The sequence below is a fragment of the Homo sapiens genome, chromosome 6 (genome assembly GCF_000001405.40).
Source record: "Homo sapiens chromosome 6, GRCh38.p14 Primary Assembly".
Taxonomy (NCBI): domain Eukaryota; kingdom Metazoa; phylum Chordata; class Mammalia; order Primates; family Hominidae; genus Homo; species Homo sapiens.
Genome location: NC_000006.12, coordinates 5,426,500 through 5,451,964, shown reverse-complemented (window position 1 = coordinate 5,451,964; position 25,465 = coordinate 5,426,500). Strand labels below are relative to the sequence as shown.

General features: G+C 39.6%; 1 protein-coding gene across 23 annotated transcripts in view, besides 2 other annotated features; it reads right to left on the bottom strand.

The window, feature by feature from the left end:
- The window catches only part of FARS2 (phenylalanyl-tRNA synthetase 2, mitochondrial), a 521,650-nt gene that overhangs the window by 319,619 nt on the left and 176,566 nt on the right, over positions 1 to 25,465 (bottom strand). For 18 of the 23 annotated variants that reach the window (XR_007059197.1, XR_007059196.1, XR_926027.4 and 15 more), the window contains one exon: positions 20,793 to 20,924. The exons of 1 other annotated variant lie outside the window; for it this stretch is intronic. Coding sequence is in view for 17 of the 22 variants with exons in the window: in XM_047418086.1 (XP_047274042.1) it covers positions 20,793 to 20,924 (132 nt within the window). In the remaining 5 variants the exon portion in view is untranslated. Of the gene's footprint in view, positions 1 to 6,009; positions 6,537 to 18,391; positions 19,014 to 20,154; positions 20,297 to 20,792; positions 20,925 to 25,465 lie in introns of those variants that run through there. 4 more of the 23 variants (XM_047418087.1, XM_006714966.4, XR_007059199.1 and 1 more) reach the window with 3 other exon arrangements.
- Positions 11,809 to 12,725: an enhancer, noted in NCBI's record as "OCT4-NANOG-H3K27ac hESC enhancer chr6:5439473-5440389 (GRCh37/hg19 assembly coordinates)". NCBI's record gives its function as "activates a minimal SCP1, AML or CMV promoter by ChIP-STARR-seq in primed H9 embryonic stem cells {active_cell/tissue: H9 hESC(primed)}" and the evidence as "EXISTENCE:reporter gene assay evidence [ECO:0000049][PMID:30033119]".
- Positions 12,726 to 13,642: an enhancer, noted in NCBI's record as "OCT4-NANOG-H3K27ac hESC enhancer chr6:5438556-5439472 (GRCh37/hg19 assembly coordinates)". NCBI's record gives its function as "activates a minimal SCP1, AML or CMV promoter by ChIP-STARR-seq in naive and primed H9 embryonic stem cells {active_cell/tissue: H9 hESC(naive and primed)}" and the evidence as "EXISTENCE:reporter gene assay evidence [ECO:0000049][PMID:30033119]".

Here is a 25,465-nt window from a genome sequence, read left to right as displayed (position 1 = left end):
AAGACATGGTGATGATATGTGATAGGTGTTTCCAAAAAATCACTTCACTGTAGTAACAATACAGTGGGAAATGAGTTGTCGGACTTTGCAAGGAATGTTTCAAGAATAAAAGCATTTAAACTGATCCTTGCCAGTTAAATAGGGTCCAACCAATCACAACAGACACTAATACCAGCTGATTGTTACCTTTCCATCTCTTGCTGTACCTCGTTAACAATAGAATCTCAAAAAATGCCTGCTGAATAAACCATACATATGCATAATAAACTCCAAAAGAAAGTATTAATTATGTAGAGTATCATCCTTAATGTTACTTCTCTTCATTCTAACAAAAATCTAGAGAGGATTTTATATTAGCCTTATGCCACTGAGACTGATGTCCCCAATGTCCCCTGTAACCTCAGACATGGGTTACATGAGGACCTTAGTGATTAAAAAGTCTCCACTGGCTATTTCTCCATTGATTATGGAAATGAGCAGTGAGCCCCAGCTCCCCAATTCTTACGACAGTTCAAGAACCATCACCTTGACATACTTGAGAATTAAATACTAAGCAGAACATGTTTCCTGGAGACAAGAATAATTGAATTTTCATGAAACGTAATGCAATGTTTGTTCATTCTATGTAAACACATACAGATTGCAAGTAAGGCTAGATTAATTCCTTCAAAGCACACTAGATTTCCACAAACCTAATGAAGCTGTCTGAGGTAATAAAGCCTTAGAAGTCAACATTTGAAGACTTTTTCATTTATTTCCCTATACCTGAAGTGGCAGGATAAAAATAAGATGAAAATATAGGACTTTTATATGTAAATTAATCCCAAAGTAACTTTTCCAGGAAATATACAAAAAGTTCAGAATGAAAGCAAACTATGTGTGCATACATAGGAATGAGCAGTGGCCTAGAAAACCCTGAAGTGTTTACAGCACCTCCAATCGTATCTAAAATACTAGATTCCTGTCAGTGGAGCAGGATTTTTCCCAAATCTTCATGAAAGGAGGCTGAGGCAAACAAAGCAGAAGATGAGGGGAGGACCCTGAATACCTTCATGGAGAATCACGGAAGATTTTCCAGAGAGGCACGGCAATAATGAAAGAGACAGCCCAAGGCATGTATCCAGGGATTCCAAGCAGGGCAGACTGGAGGAGGGAAACCCTGGAGGCAAGGAGACCCCTAAGAAGAGGTTCTCAGAGAAGCCCCTGTGTGCTTCTCCCGCCTCAACCTTTGAACAGGCTGTCCCTTGTGCCTGGACTAACAGGCGGCACACTACCTCCCACACGCCAAGTCTGGATCCCTAACCCTCTGGTTTTTGTAAGGCCTACAAGCTAGGAATGAATTTTACCTTTTTAAATGGTTGAAAAACATCAAAAGAAGAATACTATTCATGATGCATGGAAATCAGGGGAAATTTTCTGTATCCGTAAATAAGGAGTTATTGGAACCCGGCCACACTTCACCGATGGCCACCGCGACCTTCACACTACAACGGCATGGGGGAGCTGGAGCAGGAGACCAAGGCCGCCCCAAACCCAAATGCCTACCACTTGGCCCCTTACCAAACTAGTTTGCCCCTGCAGCCCACATCACGCTTCCCCTCCCCCACTCCCTGTTACCACCAACCCTTACTCATTCCTCACATCTCAGAGTAGGAGGCCTTTCTGAAAGCTTCCCCAAGTCACACTAGATGCCACCTCCTACTCTTCCCACAGTGCAATGTACTGCTCTCCTCACAGCAGGTGTCAGCACACACTGACATTACACATTTACCTCACCATATTTCCCACCTGACTGTGAGCTGCAGGAGGGCAGGGGCCATCTGTAGCCTCATACAGTTGACCCTTGAACAACAAAGATTGGAACTACACAGGTTCACTTCTACACGGATTGTTTTTAACCAACTGTGGGTCAAAAATACAGTATTTGCAGGATGCAAAACCCATGTATACAGAGGGCCAACTTTTCATACACACAGGTTCCTCAGGGAAGTGCAGGACTTGAGTATGTGCAGATTTTGGTATACTCAGGAGTCCTGGAATCAATCCCACATGTATACCAAGGGATGACCATATTTTCGTCATTAATTGGTACAGCTTGAGTATCTCAAATCTGAAAAACCTGAAATCTTAAATGCTCCAAAATCCAAAACTTTTTGAGGGCCCACATGATGCTCAAAGGAAATGCTCATTGGAACATTTCTGATTTCGAGTTTTCGGATTACGAATGCTAAATCAGTAAGTATAATGCAAATATTCCAAAACACACACACACAAAATCCAAAACCTAAAACATTTCTTGTCCCAAGCATTTAACATAAGAGATATGCAATCTGTACTACCAGGTATTCAGCAAATATTGAAATGAATGAATGCATGAACAATGAATGAATAAGTCAAATAAAGACCTGAACCACATGAGAACTTTTGCCTTATGCCAATGAATTCTAGTAAATTTAATAGATAAAGGAACCCAGGAGAATATTTATTTTTCTGAAACCTTATACTTTTTGGCCTTTCTCTTCTTTCTTTATAATAATTTTCATATATACACATATATAAAAAATCTTAAGTCTATGAGTTTTCTTTTTCTTTTTTTTCTTTTTTTTTTTTTTGAGATGGAGTCTTACTCACTCTGTCAGCCAGGCTGGAGTGCAGTGGCAAAGTCTTGGCTCACTGCAACCTCTGCCTCCCAGGTTCAAGCGATTCTCCTGCCTCAGCCTCCCGAGTAGCTGGTATTACAGGTGCCCACCAACACACCCAGCTAATTTTTGCATTTGTAGTAAAGATGGGGTTTCACCATGTTGGCCAGGTTGGTCTGGAACTCCTGACCTCAAGTGATCTGCCCGCCTCGGCCTCCCAAAATGCTAGGATTACAGGCGTGAGCCACGGCACCCGGCCAGTGACTTTTAACTTCACTGATGAATTCAAAATCTCTTACAGAGCTCTCTTACGCTCTCCGATCTTTCACGTGCAACTATCTCCTAGATGTTCCTACCTAGATGTCTTATAGACACTTCAGACTTAAGAGTTCAAAAGCTTGGGTGCAACCTACATAGCTTCTCTGTCTCCATCTTGTGAAATGGCATCATGAGTCACCAAGGCTAACTTAGCACCATCCTCCATTTTGCTCACTGCTTACCCTCATTCAATCCACATATCAGATATGACTGCTTCACCCCAGGTCTACTTAATAGGCATGATGTCTATAAGAATTATAAATGCATATACTGTGTGATTTAGCAATTCCACTTCAAGAAATAAATCCTATAAATGTACTTGCACGCAAAATGTGACACATGTACATAGTTATTCACTGAAACATTGTTTTTAATAGCAAAAGAGGGAAACACACAAAATGCCCATCAAGGGAGCACTGATTAAATACATTATGGTTCATACACACAATGCAATACCATGCAGCTGTGAATAGAAATGGGAATGCTTTCTAACGTGCAAACATCTCTAAAATACACTGTAAGTGAAAAAAAAAAAACAGAAAAAATGTGTGCTGCTTTGGTTTTTAAGAAGAAAGAAAAAGAATACATATTTGTATTTGCATTAAAAAACTTAAAGGATACAGAAAAACAGACATGAAAGCAGTGGGAGGGAGAGTGTACACACTCACAGGCACACTCACACCCCAAATAAATGCATGACCTATAAAATAATTGTATACAATACATGAAGAGGCGGACTCCCTTCTTCCACTTTCTCATCGCCTTCCCTTCCCAAATACGTCTCTACTGGCTGCAATAACAACAGCACAGAGTCCACACTCCTTTAGCTTTGTGTATAAAGCCTCACATGCCAGGATTCTCTGGATCTACCTCCCACCAGCACTCTCACTGTCCCCTAGGCTACCCCAACCACACTGCGATTCTTTGTCCTCAAATAAACATTCTGGATCTTTCGAAACTCTGTATCTTTGAATGTGCTATCCCATCTGCCTAGAAGGCCCTGCCTTCCTATTGTGCTGGCAAAGGCCTATGCATTCTTCAAGACGAAGGTAAAAGAACACTCTTCAAGGTAATTCTTCTGGGATAACCTCCCTGATTCTGCAGGCCACTTGCCTCCAAGCCTGATACCATATCTGCTTATGGGGCTATTTGTGAGACTGCATCCCTCATCAAACCATTCAATCCTTAAGGGCAGTTGTGCCTTGTTCATCTTCACTTGCCAAGCATCTACCTTTCTTACAAATGCTACTCAGCCTCCCTACCTTATCCTCAGTAAACATTTATTGTTTTATCCTCAATAAACTACACAGGTTCACTTCTACATGGACTGTTTTCAACCAAATGTGGGTCAAAAACACAATAAACATTTATTGAGGATAAGGTAGGGATGATGAGTAGCATTTGTACATTTTGCCTTCTTAGGTAACAAAAGCCTTCACCTAACAGTTTCCACTTCCCTGGATAATGTTCTTTAAAAATGTCTCCACCATGAGGAAGAGGTTATACTAGTGATTATGATTTAGGCAGCTTAAGGTAGAGAATGGGGGTAAAAAGCATGCTGTGGAATTCACCTACAATTCTTTGGAGGGTATCAGTGGCAGAGTATTGCTCAAAGGTTCTGTGTGTCAATTATGCTTAGGAAAGCTGCAATCAGAACTAATCTGCTCCTTCAATCCATGACCTTTTCCTCATGCCAAGAAGGTGGTCCCCTTGCACACAAAGCCTGGTGATAACTCTTAAAAGGCACACAATCTGGCCCCCTCTCTGCCCACTGCTACTGCTGCTTCAGCTCCTGCCCTCATCATTTAGCGCCTAGACAATTCGCCTGTTCTCCTTGTCTTTGAACTTGCATTTCTTCCACTCACACTCCACAGTAATGCCAGATACCCAAATATCAATCTGGTCACATTATTTTCCTACTTTAAATATTTCAATGCCTCACTACTACCAGAAGGATGAGATGTAAGGTCTTCGATTTTGCATTCGTAGCCCTTCCGGAACTGACCCTATCTAGGTTCCAACCTCCTCCACCTAAGTAACATGTTTCATGGTGTAATCCAGACATCCATGCGTCAGTCTTCCCAAACACACAGTGCCGCCTCTCCCTCCCTGTGTCTCTGCACCAGCAGATGAGTAGCCAACAGCTGGTCATGACACAGCGGGGGAAATGGGTGACTAAGTGAGATGATGGCTGTGTTAATTCATTCCCCTAGAGTAACCATATTACTATATATATATATCTTATAACATCATGTTGTATACCTTAAATATACACAATAAAATGTACTTTAAAAACCTCCTCTTCCCTCAGCCCCTGTCGTCTAAACTACTCAGACTTCATCTGTCAGCTCAAGCATCACATCCAAGTATGAAGCTTTGCACAAGCTCTCAGGGAACTATTTCCTCCTTCAACTGTTACCATAGCACCTTGGACAGAGCAGTTTACCCATCAGCCTCTACCACTGGACTGGAAGTCCCCCAAAGGCAGAAACCACCTCTCTACATCCATATGATGTGGGTATGGTTCCTACCACACAGATACTTAAAAGTTTGCTTCAGGGATGGAAGAAAAGAGGGAAGGCTGATTCTACTAAATGGAGTATCAAATACATATAATGGATTTTGAGAGCTTTTTTTCTTCCTAATGCCTTTGAAGCCCACAAACCCTTGGTTTCCAGGGCTCCACAGACAAATAATCTAAAATGATAAATGGATGTTCTGAATTACTTATGTTAGTATCAGCTACTTCCCTTTGTATTGAAGGCATGCCTCGAGGTAAAAAAAATTTTCTTTTTTTTTTTTTTTAAGATGGAGTCTCACTCTGTCGCCCAGGCTGGAGTGCAGTGGCACGATCTCAGCTCACTGCAAGCTCCATCTCCCAGATTCACGGCATTCTCCTGCCTCAGCCTCCTGAGTAGCTGGGACTACAGGTGCCCGCCCCCACGCCCGGCTAATTTTTTTGTATTTCTTTTAGTAGAGACGGGGTTTCACCATGTTAGCCAGGATGGTCTTGATCTCCTGACCTCGTGATCTGCCTGCCTCGGCCTCCCCAAGTGCTGGGATTACAGGCGTGAGCCACCGCACCTGGCCACAAAATTTTTAAAGAGTATCTTACTGTAGTTTGTCCCTGCTTCCCCAGAAAACACTTCCTTCAGCCTCCTAGGTTACTGTCAATCCCAGCAGCCAATGGATGGGCATGTCCCCATGTGTCCTTCTTGGGACAGGATCCATAGAAGAAATCTTTTCATGAAGGGATTCTCTGGTCAAAGAAGTCTGGAAAATACGGCACACTCCCTCCCTCAAACAGAGCTACTTCTTCCGAGCTTGGAGACACTCTCCAGTAAAGAAAACTCAAACTTTTTCAGACCATCATTTGCCATACTTAGGTGACTATCAAGTCTTTATTTCTGAGAATCACCCAGTAATATCCAATTCTTGAATTATACCAATTAAGAATCACAATTTTAAAACCTGGCATAAATTTTGCCTAGTGATGACATTGCCTCATTTTGTTCACGGACATAACAACATGGCCATTTCATGAAGACATTGCTTCCAGCCTAAAATACAGGAATGAACCTTGAAAAAAAATGATATAAGAAAAATAACTTAGCAGATTGTGTTTATCCCCACAGTACCATAAATAATTCCTAAACTTCTAAATTGCCTTTTTGCAGGGGAGAAAATAAAACTGAGCCACTGAGAGCACATCACTACCTGCCTGCAAAGCTGCAGTGATCCCATGAAGCAAGAGTTTCATAAATAGTTTAAATAAAATCCAATTATATGAGCATCCTCTTTTTCTCTCTTTTTTTTTAAAGGTCTCTAAGAATTTCTTTAAGAGGAAGAAAAACCCTGATTAACCAACCATATACACCCAAGTCCTGCTGCTAGGCAATTTTCTATGTGGTGCTATACAACAAAACACAATCCTCTATGGGTTTTATTAAGAAACTCTAGGCTGTTGAAGATTTGAGAGTTAAAATGAAATCTGAAAATTATATAATTTAGGCCCCTCATCTTACAGATGAAGAAACTGAGACCCACAGGACTTGCCCAAGATCTCCAGCCCAGCTGGTGGCCAGGCCTGACTGGAGCCAGGTCTTCACTCTGAGGCCAATGTGCTTCCCACTGCCCATCCTTGGAAACTGGGAATTGTACTGAGCAGCTGAGGGCAGAAAGAGCCACGAGCAAGCTTCAAAAATTAGGTCAGTTCCCCCCCGCCCCATTTTACTGTTTCCATGAGCCTGAAGAAAGAATAACGAACATTGGGATGAGGAGTGGGGGGTCCACCCACCCACACAGCCATCCATCTAATTTATATATGGATATTGAGTGTCTTCTATGTGCTAGGCATTGTTCTAGGAACTGGGAATACCATAGTGATCAAAACCAAAAAAATTCCCTGCCCTAATGAAGCTTACATTCCACTGATTCCAGAGTCTTCGACCTGAGACTAATTAAATTCAGACACCTGGCACTAAGATTTTTTCCTCTCTCTCTCTCTCTCTCTCTTTTTTTTTTTTTTTTTTTTTTTTTTTGAGACAGAGTCACGCCTTGTCACCCAGGCTGGAGTGCAATGGCGCAATCTCGGCTCACTGCAACCTCTGCCTCCCGGATTCAAGCGATTCTCCTGCCTCAGCCTCCCAAGTAGCTGGGATTACAGGCACCTGACACCATGCCCAGCTAATTTTTGTATTTTTAGTAGAGACGGGGCTTCACCATGTTGGTCAGGCTGGTCGCGAACTCCTGACCTTGTGATCCGCCCACATTGGCCTCCCAAAGTGCTCGGATTACAGGCTTGAGCCATTGCACCCAGCCTGCGCTAAAATTTTAAAAAGATTATATTGCGAACATATGCACGTGCGTGCATGCACACATACACACACACACACACACACACACACACACACACGAGGATCTTCCATATATCAGTGGCTTTTCAAAAACCTCCCATGTAGAGGACATTCCCACCACCAATCCCTGTCTGGTTTTCAGAACCACCACCACAGCCCACTAAAATACTGAGAAACTATTTCAGTGGCTTCTCTGCAGAGGGAGGGAAGTAAAAAAGTCAAGTTCTTTCCAAATATCCTTCCTGCTAAGTTAGAAAGGGAGGTGAAGAGGAAATACTTGAGAGAAATAAATGAGCTGAATTTTCTGTGAAATGATTTTGGAAGAGAGACTCTTAAGCATTCTATGAGCCCTCGGTAAGCTGAAAAAGAATATGACAACTACAATGTATGTTTTATCAGCCAGCTACAGCTGATCAACAAATCACTACAAAATCTCAGTGGCATGCAACAACCACCACCTGTCTGCGGGGCTGGGGCTCAGCTGGTCCAGACTGGCTGGGCTCCAGGCCCTGAGGTTGGTTCGGGTCCACTCCACATGCTTCTTACTGTTCTGGAACCAGCAAGCTACACAGGGCATGTTCACCTCATAATGGCAGAAGCTAAAAAGGGCAAAAAAACAACTGCCAAGTACATTTCAAGCCTCTTTTCCTGTCACATCTGCTAATTTCCCTTTAGCCAAAGCAGTTACAGGGGCAAGCTCCAAATCAACAGGGCAGAGAAGTATATTCTTCTCATAGCAGACAGTGCTTCAAAGTCAGGGAACCAAGTGCACAGATACAGGGAGGGGTGAAGAACTTGGAACAATACTACAGTCTGATAAAAGAAGGAACCACTTGCATCAATACCAACTTTGCCAAATTCCATTTCTTTTCCATCCACACCTTTTATTTGCTCACTCACAAACTGTGCCAACAGCTTCTACATGTAAAAAGCTAATGGTTAGACTGTGTTTTTGGCGTTACTGTTTCATGAATGGGAGAAGACAACAGGAAAAAGGATAACAGTTTAAAATGGAAAATTAAGTCCACATTGATGGGGGGAAACTGGAAAGTTAAATGGAAAGTGCTTTATATATCTGGCAAGCATACAAGACCTTAGACATTGAAATGAACATACAGGACAGAATCTCGGCTTTCCAGATGTTTCTTATATCTAGAAATCATGCCACAGACAGTACACAACACCTAACACAACAGTTGCAAAAACATCAGAAATGTAGACAGATACCACAGCTTGAGAGAAGTTGCCAAAGCCTTTATTTTTATTACAGTAATGGAAATACCAGAGGCCTGGTGTGGATGAGAAGCAGGATTAGGGAAAACTAAAAAACATAGGAGGACATAAATCCAATTCAGTGAAAAGGGCATCACTGGGGCTCCCAGGCAAGCTCTGAGCTACATTTCCTAGTCAAAGAAGCACATCCTAGAGTACGACTTCCCAGCCAAGGGAAACTGTCACCGAGGGTGGGACTAAATCTGACAGAACACTAGGAAAGAGAGGGTAAATGCTTGAAAGTCATTAAATATTTAGAATCCCAATGCTGAAAATATGAATGATAAGGCAGTAACATGAGAGACTTAAACTACAGAATCAAGCATGACAAGCAAAAGGGTTATCTTCATGAAACTTGCCAACTTACACCCACACACAATCCCCGGTGAAGTGACTTTTTTGGAGAATGATGTTATATAAAGAAACCTAAAGCTACTCAAAAAAAAGAAATGTGTGTGTGTGTGTATATATATATATATACACATTCCATTTATGAAAGAGCAACTTAAAAAAAGAACAGAAAAAGAAAAGCCACAAACCTGAAGAATATAATTGCAATACATAGAAATGACAAATGATTAGTAACCGATATAAATGTAGAATTCCTGCCAGTTTTAGAAGACAGAAATGAGCCTCACCCAAAAATGAACAAAAGAAAAACAATAAATGTTAAATAAATATATAAAATTGTGTTCAAACTTAACAGTAATAACCAGGTAAATTCAAATAAAAACCACAATATACCATTTGATTTAATTTATTATTTATTTATTTAATTTTTGAGAGAGGGTCTCACTCTACCACCCAGGCTGGAGTGGAGTGGCGGCTACTCTATGGCTCAGTGCAGCCCTGATCTCCTGGGCTCAAGTGATCCTCCCACTTCAGCCTCTAGGCTAGGACTACAGGTGCACCACCAAGCTCAGCTAGAGATACTATTTTAAACGTATCAGACTGCCAAAATAAGTTGAACAACGTCAAGTGTTAAAGAGGATGTAAAACACCAGGGAACTTTAGAAAGGCTCAAGACAATATAAATTGGGCCAACCACTTTGGGAAACAATTTGATGATACCCAAAGATGCTCGTAAGTGCTGACTTTTAGCAATTCTACCGCTAGGTAAAACATAGCTCAGTGAGACTCTTACACCTATACATTCAGAGGTGCAAGAATGTTCAGCAGTAGCATTTGTAATAGCAAAAAGAAAATCGTAACCAAGCAAATATTCATTAAAGAATGGATGAATGAACTATGGAACATTCATCCAGTAGAATATAAGCTGCAAAAAACAAAAGAACTAAAACTCTACTTATGACAACACAGATGAACTTCACACTAATGCATGAAAACCTAAAGTCATGAAAGGAGCTATACTGTGATTTCATTTGTTAAAACATAAAAGCACATGAAAGTCAACTTGTTTTACAATATAAATAGTAAAACTCTAATGAAAATCAAGGTAATAATACAAAATTCAGAATGTGATTGCTTATAGAAGGGAGGGAGAGAGGGAAGGAGTGAAGAAACTGACAGGGAGGGATACACAGAGGACTTCAACAAAGATGAGAATAAGGTTATCATTTGGAGTGAAAGAATAAAAAGAAAAACTTGCAGAATATATTCTAGCATCCTTTCTAGTCTCATTAGAAAATGGACTGAGTGGCTGGGCGCAGTGGCTCATGCCTGTAATCCCAACACTTTGGGAGGCCAAGGCAGGCAGATCACTTGAGGTCAGGAGTTCGAGACCAGCCTGGCCAAAATGGTGAAATCCGGTCTCTACTAAAAATACAAAAATTAGCCGGTTGTGGTGGCGCACACCTGTAGTCCCAGCTACTCAGAAGGCTGAGGCAGGAGAATCACCTGAAGCCGGGAGATGCAGGTTGCAAGGAGCCAAGATTGTGCCACTGCACTCCAGCCTGGGCAACAGAGAGAGACTCTGTCTCAAAAAAGAAAAAAAAAAAAAGAAAGAAAATGGACTGAGCCAACAGCTTCTGGGAACATGTTCAGTGACACTAGTGACCAGAAAAAAAGAAAGGGAATTAAAACACCACCAGTATAAACTGGATACTGTGGCACATGCCTGTACTCCCAGCTACTTGGGAGGTTGAGGTGGGAGGATCACTCGAGGCCAGGAGCTCAAGTCCAGCCTGGGCAACACAGTGAGACACCCCCCCTCCACTTCTAAAAAACAATAACAACAAAACACCAGTATACATTTTTTTCCTGTTAAATGTAAAGAGTAAAGAGATTGATAATGTTCAATATTGGTAAGGGTGTGGAAAAATCAACTCTTTCAAATACTGCAGGTACTTTTTTTCCAGTGTGCCTATGAATATGCATCATAAACCTAGGGAGGAAAAAACCAGTAATTCCACTTTTATAAACTTATCCCAGGAAAATATTAAGACAAGTGCACAGGACACATGGATAAAAATGTTATTGTCAACAACCCATCAACATGGGGGTGGCCAGAAAGATCCATCCACAGTGGCTGTGCAGCCACTGACAATGATGATGTAGATAAATATTTGGTAACATCAAAGGACACTTGTGTCACATTTCTTGCAGAAAAAATTAATACAAAAAATATTCAAAGTATGATTCTACTTTTTATAAAATATATATATAACTTCTATATGTAGGTATATCTGACAATTATAAATATGCATAAAGATTTACAGTTTTATATAGGAATTAAATTTTATAAAGAATCTATTTTATGTAGGATCATGGAATTACTTTCATTTTCATTTTTATATTTTATTTTCTTAATTTTTCAATGATTACAGATTGCTTTTATATCAGAAAAAAAGTCTCACCATCTTAGCTGTTTTGAAAAGGGAAAAAGGCTAAGTAAATATTTGAACAGACATCTCCATTCTGGCAGCTTGAAAATATGTCACTAGGAGGAACTTGAGGCAAAACCTACACATAAGGCTGACGTGTATTTGTTTGCTTTTCTGAATGGGCACTAAAAGGGGCAAGACTGACTTAAAGGAAGAGAGGAAAGTTAAGAAGGTGAAAGAAAGGAACGGAGAAGGAAGGGAGGGCAGGAGGAAGGAAGCGAGCCAGAGTTTCACAGATCTTAGACAATCTCAACTAACTGGCCTCAAAAATGTACCAGGCTTAATTCTGATTAATAAAGTTGACAGAGTAAATAGACAAGTGGAGCCAATACCACCACGTTTCCAGTACCACATATGTGTGTCACGCAATTATCCTTTCACCTGGAGTGCATTCACAACCCAAACTACAGTTCAGGTCCACTATGGGGGCATGAGCCCACCAGTCTATCCCTCTCTCTGATTACGACCAAAATCTCTAAACAACTAACAGAGGACTCTGAAAAGTAAAAAAACAGAAAAATTATACAGGAGAGTCAACACTTGGAAAGGCAACCCACACAGGGTGAAGTTCCTGCTTTGTTTTCTTCTCACATGATTTTGCCCCAAAGGTGAGCCCCAGTTGCATAGCTGCAAAACAACACAGGCAACTAAACTCAAAGAGAAGCCTGTCTGTGTGTCTGCAGATAAAGGGATTCTGCGAGTTGAGGAGTCTGAGGGTATGATCTTGGGGTAGAGAAAGCCCAGGAAAGGATGCCCGAATTCTATGTGGAAACCTGCACAGATATCAGCCTGACACTGGAGTGACACACGCACAGCACAGACTCCAACCAGCACAGAAAAGGCTGAGAAAACTGAACTGAGATCTGAACCACTCACACAAGTTGCAGACTAACCCCTTAAGTACAGGATGGACAAAAATAAGCACAACAAAGACTTACACTGAGAACTGAATCGCTGCCCCTAGGAAGCAGGTCCCACTCAAAGCCTAGAGCTCACCAGGTTGATCACCCTACTAAAACAGCAACAGTCACCACAGATGACAGGATGCCATTCAGAAAGTGCAATATACAATCCAAAATTTGTTTACAAACAACCAGGAAAATATCACCAATTCTTAACAAAAGTCAATCACAGGACGATCCAGACATTGGAACTATCAGATGCAGGTTCAGTATCCCTAATCCAAAAATCCAAAATCCAAAATGCTCCAAAATATGAAACTTTTTGAGCATGGACATGATGCCCATTAAGAGATGCACATTGGAGCATTTTGAATTTGGGATTTTTGAGTTAGGGATGCTGAAACAGTAAGTATAATGCAAATATTCCAAAATCCAAAAATCTGAAACACTTCTCATTCCAAGCATTTTGGATAATGGATATTCAACATGTATTTAAAGCAACCACTGTCACTTTGCTCTATGAGGTAAAGAAAAACAAACTTGATAGAAATGAAAATACAGGAATTCTCAGAAGAAAAATAGGAACTATAAAACAAAACCAAATGCAAATTTTAAAACAAAAAAAAAGCACTGAAATAAAAATATATTTGGTGATCAAGGCAGCAGAATGGAGATGACAGAGAACAAAATCAATTAACATGAAGATGGATCTGTGGAAATTATCCAATCTGAAAAACAGAAAGACAAAGATTAAAAAAAAAAAAGTAAGCAGAGTCTCAGGGTCTCCTGGGACAAAATCAAAAGATCTATCATAAGTGTGAGATAAAAGAAAACCATACCTAGACATATCAAAATCACATGGCTGAAAAACAAAAATGGGGGGGGGGGCGGGGGGTGGGTAGAAGCCTTGAAAGTAACTAAAGACAGCACAGTAAAAAATTATAGTTAATAATTTTTTTAAAAAAAAAGGAAAGATACTAGTATTTACAAGTGAAGAATGACTGAAAAGATTATGGATGTCTCTTTAGAACTATAGAGGCAGAAGACAATGGATCAACATCTTTAAGTTGCTGAGAAAAAAAATAAAAATCCATCAATCCGGAATTCTATATTCAATAAAAACATCCTTCAAACTAAAGGGGAAATAAAAACATTCTCACATAAAATAACGCTAAGAAATTATCACCACTTGACGTGGTCTATAAAAAATGCTAAGGAAAGTTTTTCTTATTGAAGGAAAAAAGAATAACCAGAAGGAAACATGTATTTTCAGGAATAAAGGAACAGCAAGAGAAATGGGAAACAGCTAAGTAAATATAAAAGAAAACTACTTTCCTCTTAATTTTTTAAAAAATGCATATGACTCCTTAAAGGAAAAGTGTAACATTGAATCACGAGGTTTTCAATGTATGTAGATGTAATATATGTAACTATAACAATATAAAGGTAACTGGGGAGGAAGGAAGACAAGACAGGAATGGATATTGTAATATAAATGAAACAGAGTCCAAGGAAAATTACCAGAGATAAAGAAAGACATTTCACAATGATAAAAGGAACAATTCCTCGTGAAAACATAACTACTATGAAAATATATGCACCTAATAATATGGCTTCAAAAAAACATAAAGAAAAATTGACAGATAAAAGGGTAAAATAGCCAAGTCCATAATCATAGTAGAAAATCTTACTCTTTTCTGAGCAACTGATAGAGTACTAAGACCAAAAAATCAGTAAACATAGAAAGAAGAGCTAAACACTATTCAATTACCTTGATGTAACTGACATTTATAGAACACTCCACTCATAGGCTTTTTGCTTCTAGAGAATGGAAATATATGTCCACACAAAGAATTTTACAATAAAACACTACTCCAAATAAAAAGGAATAAATTGATACACAGTACACACAACATGGATAAATCTCAAAATCATTATATGCTGAGTGAAAGAAGCCAGGTATAATGAATACACACTGTACAATTCCATTTATATAAAATAGTAGAAAATCCAAACTAATCTATAATGACAGCAGGTAGATCAGTGGTTGCCTGAAGACAGGGATGGGTGGAGGAACAGATTACAAAAAGGGCATGAGAAACAGTTGGGAATGAAAACATTTATCATCTTGATTGTGGTGATGGTTTCACTGGTGTATACGTATGTCAATAACTGATCAAACTGGACACTTTAAATATCTGCAGTTCATTACACTTCAATTATATCCCAAAAAAATTGGGAAAAATATTCAACCTATGCTATAGATAGGGTTTTCAAAGTATGGTCTGAATGTGAGTCATTCGTAAGAATTATCTAGGGTATTTGTTTAATATGCATATCTTGATCTCCATCCCAGACCTCCAGACTCTGATGCTCTATGAACAGACATTTTAAATAACCTCTCCAAGTAATTACTAGTCACACATCTGAGAATGACCACTTAAGGCCCAATTCAAAGACCATCTCCTTTATGAAGTCTCTACTGATCCAACTGACAGACATAGTTCCCTTTTCTCATCTCACAAAGCTCGTTCTCACAAAATGCATTTATATGCATGACTATGTTCTAACGATATAATCTTATCTGCCCTACTACACAGAACTACAAGTTTTCACAGGGAGAAGGTGTGTTTCATCCATTTTCCTAATTTCCTCTGTCCAGCACAGTGCCTTGCACACAAAAGACACTAATTATATAAAAGGCATGTTTATTACCAGTACAGCCTTGGTCCATGCTATTACAGATTCACCAACTGAGATCAACAACAGTGAACCATGTTAAGTATGTGTAGAGGCTATAGAGATCAACTACCAGAGACAGGGACAGACTGGAAATAGATTCATGCTGATATAGGAAAAGCAAAGAGAAAGTATATCCCTCCTTGCAAACAAGAACCTAACTAACTCTGGGATGCACATTTCAAATATCTATCGCATCAATATTCCATCCTGATTGTAACCAGGGAAAGGCCTGGCACCACCTTCTCTAATCCTTCTCTTCCCCACACATTGTGCCCACGGTACCCCTGTTATGAATACTTACCACATGGTACTGTAATCATTTGTTTGTATGTCTGTGTATTGTATGCTGTGATATTTTCAAAAGCAGGAGCAATGCTGATTCACTTCGCTATAGCCTTAGAAGGACTTTGAAGAAATATTTGATAAGCAAGCCAATAATGATCCTTCAAAACCGGAAGCTGTTCATGTACCTATTTATAAGGTTTTCCCCAAAGAGCCGATTTTTAAATTTTGACAAAAAGGTAAGGAAGGTAATTTCACTTTTAAAAAGATATTTTCAACTATCAAGCTTCTTCTCCCTCTTGGCCCATGTAAAATCTTCTAAACTTCACAGGGGCAAGGAATGGTAAATTCCTTCCTGGCATGATCACGGCTCATAGTTGTCCCAGTGATGGTTTTGGACGCGGTGCTCCATTTACTATGTGAAAAGACACAGCAGCCTGAGTCAACCCAGTGGGAGGCAAGTGTGTAGTATTTGGGGACGTGACTCAGTACTGTCCTCAAAATACCTCCCTAAGGAAAAAACAACCAAGTCAGCCTGAAAACGGTCACCACTCACATCACAATCACTCAGTCTAAGGATCCAGAAATCAACGGTGAAGACACTACGACTTAAGGAAGAAGAAATAAAGTAAAATGCTACAAGCCATTTAAAAGAGCTGTGTTCCACACATAAAAACACATATATGCCACAGTTGCTTAAATGTGTAATAAAATGTCTTCACTGACTTTTCAAATTAGCAATCTAATTTCATGCTTTAATTAAATACACTCTATCACAGGGAGAGAACACACATGGTGGCATAGCCCTTCCTTAGAGGTAACTACAGAACAAATAAAGTTTTGTTTGCTATGTATTTGTTTCATTTTGTTTCAGTTCTTTCATTCTACGTTAGGCAGAATGATTTATTTGAAATGAATTTTTAGCAACTTCAAAATCATGCAATTTACTATTTGGGGAGCATAGCTTATTAGTTAACTGTTGTCAGAAAGACTTGGCAAGTTTCACTAGCACTGTCTAGCTATTTGATCTGAATTACCTTTCTCCGGCTCTGTAAAACACGGGTTATAACAGCATCTACCTGGGAACCTTGTTATCATGGTTAAATGAAAGAAAGCATATACAGCATGCTTTATGGGATGCTGGCATACAGGAAGGGCTCAACTGATGTCTGCCACTATCATTGCTCCATCAGTTTCTTTGTTTTCTGGTTATTTTAGCACTCACCTGATTCTCTATAAGAACCTTAAAGGGGAGTCATCAATTATATTGTTTCTTGGAAGTTCTCTTTTAAAAGAGAAGGGAATGAAGAAAAGTAAAGAGAGGGGAAGAGCAGGGTGCAGGGAGGAAGAAGGAAGGGAGAGCAGGGGAGCAAATATAGAAGAAGAGATGGAAAGAATAGCGGAACTGCACGAGTGGGATAAAGTATACCTATTCGGTCTTTCTCCACGCCATAAGAACTCAAAAAACAGAAAATTTAGCTGCACTTACAAATGTCTGTGGTTAGTGACTGCCAGGCAGTTTACAGATTTTAACTACAGACATCCAAACACCTTCGAATTTGAGAACACAGAGCAGAACTTTGTCATAATAACTTCAAATTCAAATAGCAAAGTCTACACAGAATCCGTTCTATAAAATTGTCTCTTCTTCCATTTCCTTAGTTTCCTTCTCTTGTGAAATATTTAATTTAAATATTATGGCTGGGCGCAGTGGCTCATGCCTGTAATCCTAGAATTTTGGGAGGCCAAGGTGGGTGGATCACCTGAGGTCAAGAGTTCGAGACCAGCCTGGCCAACATGGTGAACTCCAATCCCTACTAAAAATACAAAAATTAGCCAGGTGTGGTGGAGGGTGCATGTAATCCCAGCTACTCAGGAGGCTGAGGCACAAGAATCGCTTGAACCCAGCGGGGGCAGAGGTTGCAGTGGGCTGAGATCACGCCACTTCACTCCAGCCTGGGCAACAGAGCGAGACTCTGTCTCAAAAATTAATTAATTAATTAATTCATTTTTATGTGTACAGTTTCCCCAAAACTCAAAGCACATCCTACCATCACTGCGAATCTCTGAAACATATTTACGACTTAGGTGTCTTTTTCACTTTGCCATTCCATTCAAGAATATCTAACGTGGCTGATCTAATTGCAGAACAGCAGCCTCATTAACGTGCAATAATGACTTGGAAATCTGTTTCAGATAACAATATTCAGCCAATTACTGTGTGAATAAACCTCATAAAAACCCATCAAGGATATTGGAAACCGTGCAAGGAAGCGCAATTCCAAGCAACAACTGATGTGTAAGCTGATCATCCCTGATTTGCTTTCTGAGCTTCAGCCCCCTGACACCAGGCACTCCTGGGAGGAAGCCTAGTAGTCATTGAAGTCTTTTTCTAAAAAACAAAACTATCAAATCATCACAGAGGTATTTGAAGTCAGCTCCTACTCAAGGAGAGATTAAATCTTTCATATTCACGCCCAGTATTTTATGTTTTCTGTTGAGATGCACATACAACTGTTAGGCTGATTTTCCTTTTCTTCCTGTTTATTACTCTTACTTTTCTTTTTCCCTGTAAAATCACTCACTCAGCATAAAATGGCAGACACAGACATGACTACAGGTCAAAGAGGTAACAAATTACACTTGGTTAGAAATTGTTTCTATCACAGGCAGGAACAACTTCTGTTTAAATATTTCCTACTAAGGGGACCCTCTGTTGACACATGGCTCTAGCCATTAGAAAAATTTTAAGTACAACAACATCAGCAGTTAATTTTTACTGAATGCTTGCTGTGTGCCAGACCCTTTGCTAAGCACTTGAGAGGAATCCCCTCAATCTATCCCCATAATGGAACTCTGAGGGTGTATCCTTGCACCCATCTTAAGCATGAGAAAGCCAAGGCTCGTGGGGTGATGAACCCTGCCTAAAGAGACACAGCTGTTAATTAACAGAAACCCTGGGTTTCCAGACACCCAAGCCCAGGCCTCACAACTTCTCCTCCCAGGTCCTGATGTCAACCTCTGTGCTCCCTCTCCTCTAGGACAGCTCTTCACCTATTTTAAAACTGCCCACGAAGCTTCCAGCCCTGTGCTGGGCTTTCTCCTGAGGCTTCCTCAGCAGGATGAAGAAGAATCTGGGAGCTTGTGGAGTCCAGGCCCCTGCAGATGGAGAGTACCTAAAAGTAAGAAGGGAAGGCCAGGCCTCCAGTCTCCCAGCCGAGGTAACACAAGCTCCTGCACTTCATGCACCCTGTCTCGTCACTCTCTGCTCATCCTCATTTTCCAAGCCCATGACCAGATATCATATCCTTACCCATGGTCTATTCACATTTCTTAGTTACCAAGAAGGACCTCTCTTCATTCTGCTACAGGAGGCTGGGCGGTGAACCCTGACTCAGAGCTGCCCTCCAAGGCCAAGCAGCAAATGTCCTTCTAAGGGAGCAGAGCCGGAAAGGTTTCCTGAACAATCCACATCAGTTCCTATCCAATTTGGTGCTCACTGCTTATGTAGTGAGCTCAAATGCCCAATCCAAACCAACTTTCCCTTTTTTTTTTGGAGGATTTATACTCTGAAAAAAAAAAATATATATATATGATTGGGATATAAAAAATATATATAATATATATTATATATAAAAAATATATATAATATATAATATATATTTTATATATTATATTTATAATATATTATATATTATATATAATACATAATATATATAATGTATAATATATAAATATATAATATATTATATATATATAATATATATATATATATATATATATTTTTTTTTTTTTTAAGACTGAGTGTTGCTCTTTCGCCCAGGCTGGCTGCAGTATAGCGATCTCGGCTCACTGCAACCTCCGCCTCCTGGGTTCAAGTGATTCTCCTGCCTCAGCCTCCCGAGTAGCTGGGATTATAGGCGCACCACCACACCCAGCTAATTTTTGTATTTTCAGTAGAGACAGGGTTTCACCATGTTGGCCAGGCTGGTCTCAAACTTCTGACCCCAGGTGATCCACCCACCTCAGCCTCCCAAAGTGCTGGGACGGCCTCCTAAAGTGCACGAGCCTGTAATATTTTTTAATTAATTAAATTATATTAAATTTTTTAATTAAATTCAGATAGTAACTTTCAAAAAAGTATTACATTCAGACAGTGACTTAAAAAATCAAATTCAGATAGTGACTTAAAAAAAATACCCAATTCAGATAGTGACTTAAAAATTACTCAATTCAGATAGTGACTTAAAAATTACTCAATTCAGATAGTGACTTAAAAAGAAACCTCACAGCTCTGAAATTACATTTAGAAGCCATCATTTTTATTAAGCAATGGTCTTACAGAAAAGAGCCAGACAGATCTTTCTGAAATGCCTATAGATATGCGTAGAATTCAATCAGCAACCTCGTGTTTCCATTTTCTCTCAGTCAGGTGGCGCCGCCTATGCAGAGGGAGGTGATGGATTAAGCATTAGGGGCCTAAGTGTTTTTACACTGCGTTTTAGTGTATTTATAAAATACTTGCTGAATTTGGGACACTATACTAAGTGCAGTAAGAACAAAAATGGATTATGCATTGTCTTTGTTCTTAAATAGTCTGAAAGACAAACTACACTCCTGTGACATGCAGCAAATGTCTTTGGGGCAATTACAAAGCAACGTATCAACAAATACGAAATCACAAAGTACAAATCCAGCAGCCAAGTGCTGACAAGGTGGATCTCCAAAGACAAAGAGCCTTTGCAAATACGGATGTGAGAAATAAGTTTTTCCAGGGCTTAGTATCAAAGACAAATCTAGAGGGGAATCTGAAGAGAGACCAGTGATGCCGCTGCCCGCATAGAAGTATGTAAATATCTACAAGTGTGCAACGGGGCTGCCTGAGAAGGGAGGGTTCCTTTAGAGCACGTGTAAATAAAATGTGGGATTCTTTTTTACCTGAATTGACCAGTTGTTGTTCCATCACCCCGCAGCCAAGAACTTCCAGCCATTCTCCATGAAAGTTGATCTCCATCTCAAAGGAAGGATGTGTAAAAGGGAAGTAGCAGTCTACCCATCTTATCTCCAGCTCTGCAAAGTTGCCAAAGAAACAAATAAGTAGTGTTAAATAGCTGTCTGCCCTTTCTTGTGATCAAATTTTCCCTTCTACTAATGACACCAATTACTACATTCTGAGTAAAATAAATAGCAAATAAACTAATTTGCAACATGTTAGGGTGAGGCAATAAATCTTAAAACTTGTGAAAAACTGGGCATGTCTTCTCCAATATAAAAAACACTTTGCGTAATTCCAGGACCCTCTGCAACCAAATCAATCACTTGTCAAATCCCTGCCACCAGCTGGCAGAAGAAAACACTAGGCCAAGATCATGGGAAAGCAAGTAATTCTGTTAGTTTCTATACATGAAAATGACATTATTTCAGAGTTAAAGAGAGTATATTTTTACTATATTTTCCTCCAAACTTACATATCAACAATATGACCAATTCAAGATAAACTGATCAACTTTTACTTCCATAAGTATATATAAATATATATATTATTTTTAAGTTTATAAAGCTAATAAAAAGTCAGATTAAACCAAATCTATCAGTCAATCTTAAGTAAAACATTTTTAAAGTCCAACATTTTTCCTACAGATGAATGATTAAAAAGCACATGCTAAATGCCAGAATGAATTTCTAAATAAGCAAACATAAATACAGCACTTTTGAGAAAAAGTGCTGTAATTTAAGCAATGGCCTTACTATTTAACAAGGGAAAAGACTAATGAATTCAAAACAATTAAAGCCTGCAAAGAGCAGAGGTCACTAAAAGCAGAGAAACCATATCAGAGGGTCACCTAGGAGCTTGATGCCCACTGAGAAGAACACAGAAAAAAGTGGGCATTTTGACAAATCCTGTGTTCCTGTCCCTGTGTCCCTTTCCCTTCCTGTGCCGACCTCTTCTTTTTTTAGGCAACACTTTGCTAAAGGACTCGATTCTCCATGGTAATATGAACATGCCCTCTTGTGAATTTAAAATACCATATGTTCTCACCCCAAACTACCTGCATGTTAAATCTTGTGGGAATCAAAATGTGAAGCAAATAAAAATAATGACAAAAATGGCTTCTATCTATTGAGGACTTACTATGCTTCTACCAACCCATTTCATAGATTCGGGAAAAAAAAAAAAGGCAATTGTCTTGCCCAAAGTCCCACAGCTAGCAGGTGACTGGGCCACTGTGCCAAACCCAGGTCTGCCCAACTCCAAAACCCCTGCTCTTGCTCTTGTTGTTTTTTTGTTTTGTGTTGTTTGATAGGATCTCACACTGTCACCCAGGCTGGACTGCAGTGGCTCCCCAATCATAGTTCATTGTAACTGCAAACTCCTGGGCTCAAGCAATCCTCCTGGCTCAGCCTCTGAGTAGCTGGGACTACAAGCACGCGTCATCATGCCTGGCTAATTTCTCTACTTTTTTTACTTTAGAGATGAGGTCTCGCTGTGTTGACCAGGCTGGTGTTGAACTTCTGGCCTCAAGCAATCCTCCTGACTCAAACTCCCAAAGTGCTGGGATTATAGGCAGGAGCCACGGCACTCGGCCCCAAAACCCAGCTCTTGACAGTTAAAACATAATTGCCTGCCCATCAAAAAAGATATTTTGAGAGTCAAACATTAGACAAGAGTGTAATTATCAAACACAGGGAGGCTTTCCTATGGCCCAGATTCCACAGGAGAAGGCAGATTTTTCTTTAATTGATTTGTTTTAATTGCATTTATTTTCCTTCTTAGCTGCTGTCTATGACAAGTGTCAACTGATTTCTGTTTACAACAGTAATACAATATTTCCCCCTCTTATTTTCTCTGTGTTAAATAGACAAACATTAAAGTGCACAGATATAAAGTGTATAATGTGACAAATGTTGACACAGATATGCACCCATGATACTGTCACCACAATCAAGACAATGAACATAAACATCACCTCCCAGCTTTCTCATGCCCCTTTGTAATCCTACCCACCTGCCCACTGCCCCACTCTTCTCCTGACCCCCCACATCTGTAGGCAACCACTGATTTGTTCTGCCACTATAGATGAGTTTGCATTTCCTAGAATTTTATAAAAATGAAAACATACAGAATGTACTCCTTTTTTTCTTGCTTCTTTCATCAGGGTTATTTTAAGATTCACCTGTGTTGTTGCACCTATCAATAGTTCATTCCTTTTTATTGCCGAGATCGCATCAACACTTTTTCTAACTGGGAAAAAAAAGCTGGTCTTGTTGCAGGCCGTTGGAGAACTGTCCCCACGTCCCCTGAGTAGTCGACTTTTCTGTGTGGAAGCTCAGACACGCAGAGCCACTGCTTATTTGGGACTGTATTCTGAGAAGAAGGGATTTATACACCTGTATCCCTGCCCATCTTTGGGACCAACAATTCCCTATCAATATTTTTGTAAAAAGCACCAGAGACAATCCTGCTAACAAACAGAAATATGTGAGGTCTTGGGACATGGAAGTGAGTGCAGAAGGACTGACAGACAAAATAATTTCTATCTTTCTTTTTTTATAACTCTTGGCACGTAAGCGGAAAACATTTTATGACAACAGTTTGGAACAATATATTTTGTGTACATGGCTTTGGATATTTGGCCTGAATTTTACCAAAAGCAGGAACAGGACTCAGGGTTAACATCATGATTTCATATAATTAAATATAATTAATTTTATGTAATTAAACATTACCTAAATGCTTGGAACACAGTGGTAAAGTAAGTGCTACACAAGTTTACTTTCTCAGTTTGCTCTTAGGTTCTGTTAAAAAAATCATTTTGGATAGGTTAAATAAATATGGAAGAGTTCAGTTATACAACTCCATCTCTCACAACTGTAATATCTTAGGTTCTCCCTAGTCCAAGAGGAAGACATTTCAAGACATTAATAAGCACTGAAAACAATTACAAGTGTTGATTAAAGTCATTCCATAATCAATGTTTATTAAACCCTAACTAAATGTCTACTGCATATGGTCTCATAGGAAGCCGCGTCTCCGCAGAGACAGGTCCCTGTTTACACACACCCACTAGAGCTGCTGGTGCTGATGGCGTCAGCACAACACAAGGATAGAACTGAGAAGTGATGTGATGGCTCTCCCTTCTCCAGGAACCTTCCTTCACTGAAGGGCTTTTGGTTTACCACTTCTATAATGAGAAAAAACAATTATAGCTTTGGATTGAAAATTTCTGTAATGTTGAACAAATTCTTAAGATAAAATATGTTTTATCAACCCTTGCTCTTTTTTTGGTTTAAGATCTCAGCCACCACAAGCCCTCAGTTTCTTCTTCCTCAATCATCCTGCAGGTGTCTTTTTTGGTAACAACGTGGGTAACTGCTCCACAGTGAAAACTACAGATAGCAAAGCAAGAAAAGCAGGGACGTTAGCCGATGTTTTTCAGAATCCACCAAGATGATAAACACGAACGATTTAATGGAGCAGAATCTATTGATACTACCATAGTAACTAAAACAGAAAACACAGACTGGTAAAAGTTGTGTCTAATGAGACCAGGAAGTTTTTAATCCTTTTTACCCCCTGAGATCCTCTGCTCAGTTTCGTTTTAAAATCTACATGACCCCACAAAGAATGCCAAATCTATACACCATTCATTTCCTTTGTTCTGCTACTTTAAGGACTTCTTCAGTTTTTAAGATTTGCCTCTTTCACATAAATAGACAAAAGTCAAAATCTGTGCTTTTGAAGTCTTATCCATAAAACCTTTGCCTACACCAATGTCCTGAAGTAATTCATCTGTTTTCTTCTAGTAGTTTTATGGTTTCGGGTCTTACATTTAAGTCTTCAAACCATTTTGAGTTGGGTTTGTATACGGTGAGAAAGACAGCACTTGCCCAGAATCATTTATTGAAGAGAATATCATGATGGATATGCTAATTTCCCTGATTCGATCATCACACATTGTATACATGTATTAAAATGTCACTCTGTACCCCATAAATGTGTACAATGATGTGTCAACTAAAAATAAAAAAGGCCAAAATTTGCAAAGCACTATTTTTGAGTACACTGTGTCTCTACTTCAAACATAAATAGTAATTATTTGAAAGTAAATTATATTAATGTGAACTTTTTCCCAATATACCATATTTTCTTACACATTTTAACAATTTAAATTTGTGACATTGAGGGCTGGACACAGTGGCTCATGCCTGTAATCCCAGTACTTCAGGAGGCTGAGGCGGACAGATTAGTTAAGATCAGGAGTTCGAGACCAGCCTTGCCAACATGGTGAAACCCCATCTCTACTAAAAATACAAAAATTAGTCGGGTGTGATGGCACATGCCTGTAGTACCAGCTACTTGGGAGGCTGAGTCACGAAAATTGCTTGAACCTGGGAGGTGGAGGTTGCGGTGAGCCAAGATTGCGCCACTGCACTCCAGCCTGGGTGAGAGAGTAAGGTTCAGTCTCAAATAAATAAATTAATTAATTGTTACATTGACACATTAACAGAGATTTTTAAAAAAATCATTGGTAGTGAAATTATTTCTTGAATACTTTGATATTACCCCCAAAATACACTTTCTTCTTGTTTTTCAATCTATGATCTCAAAA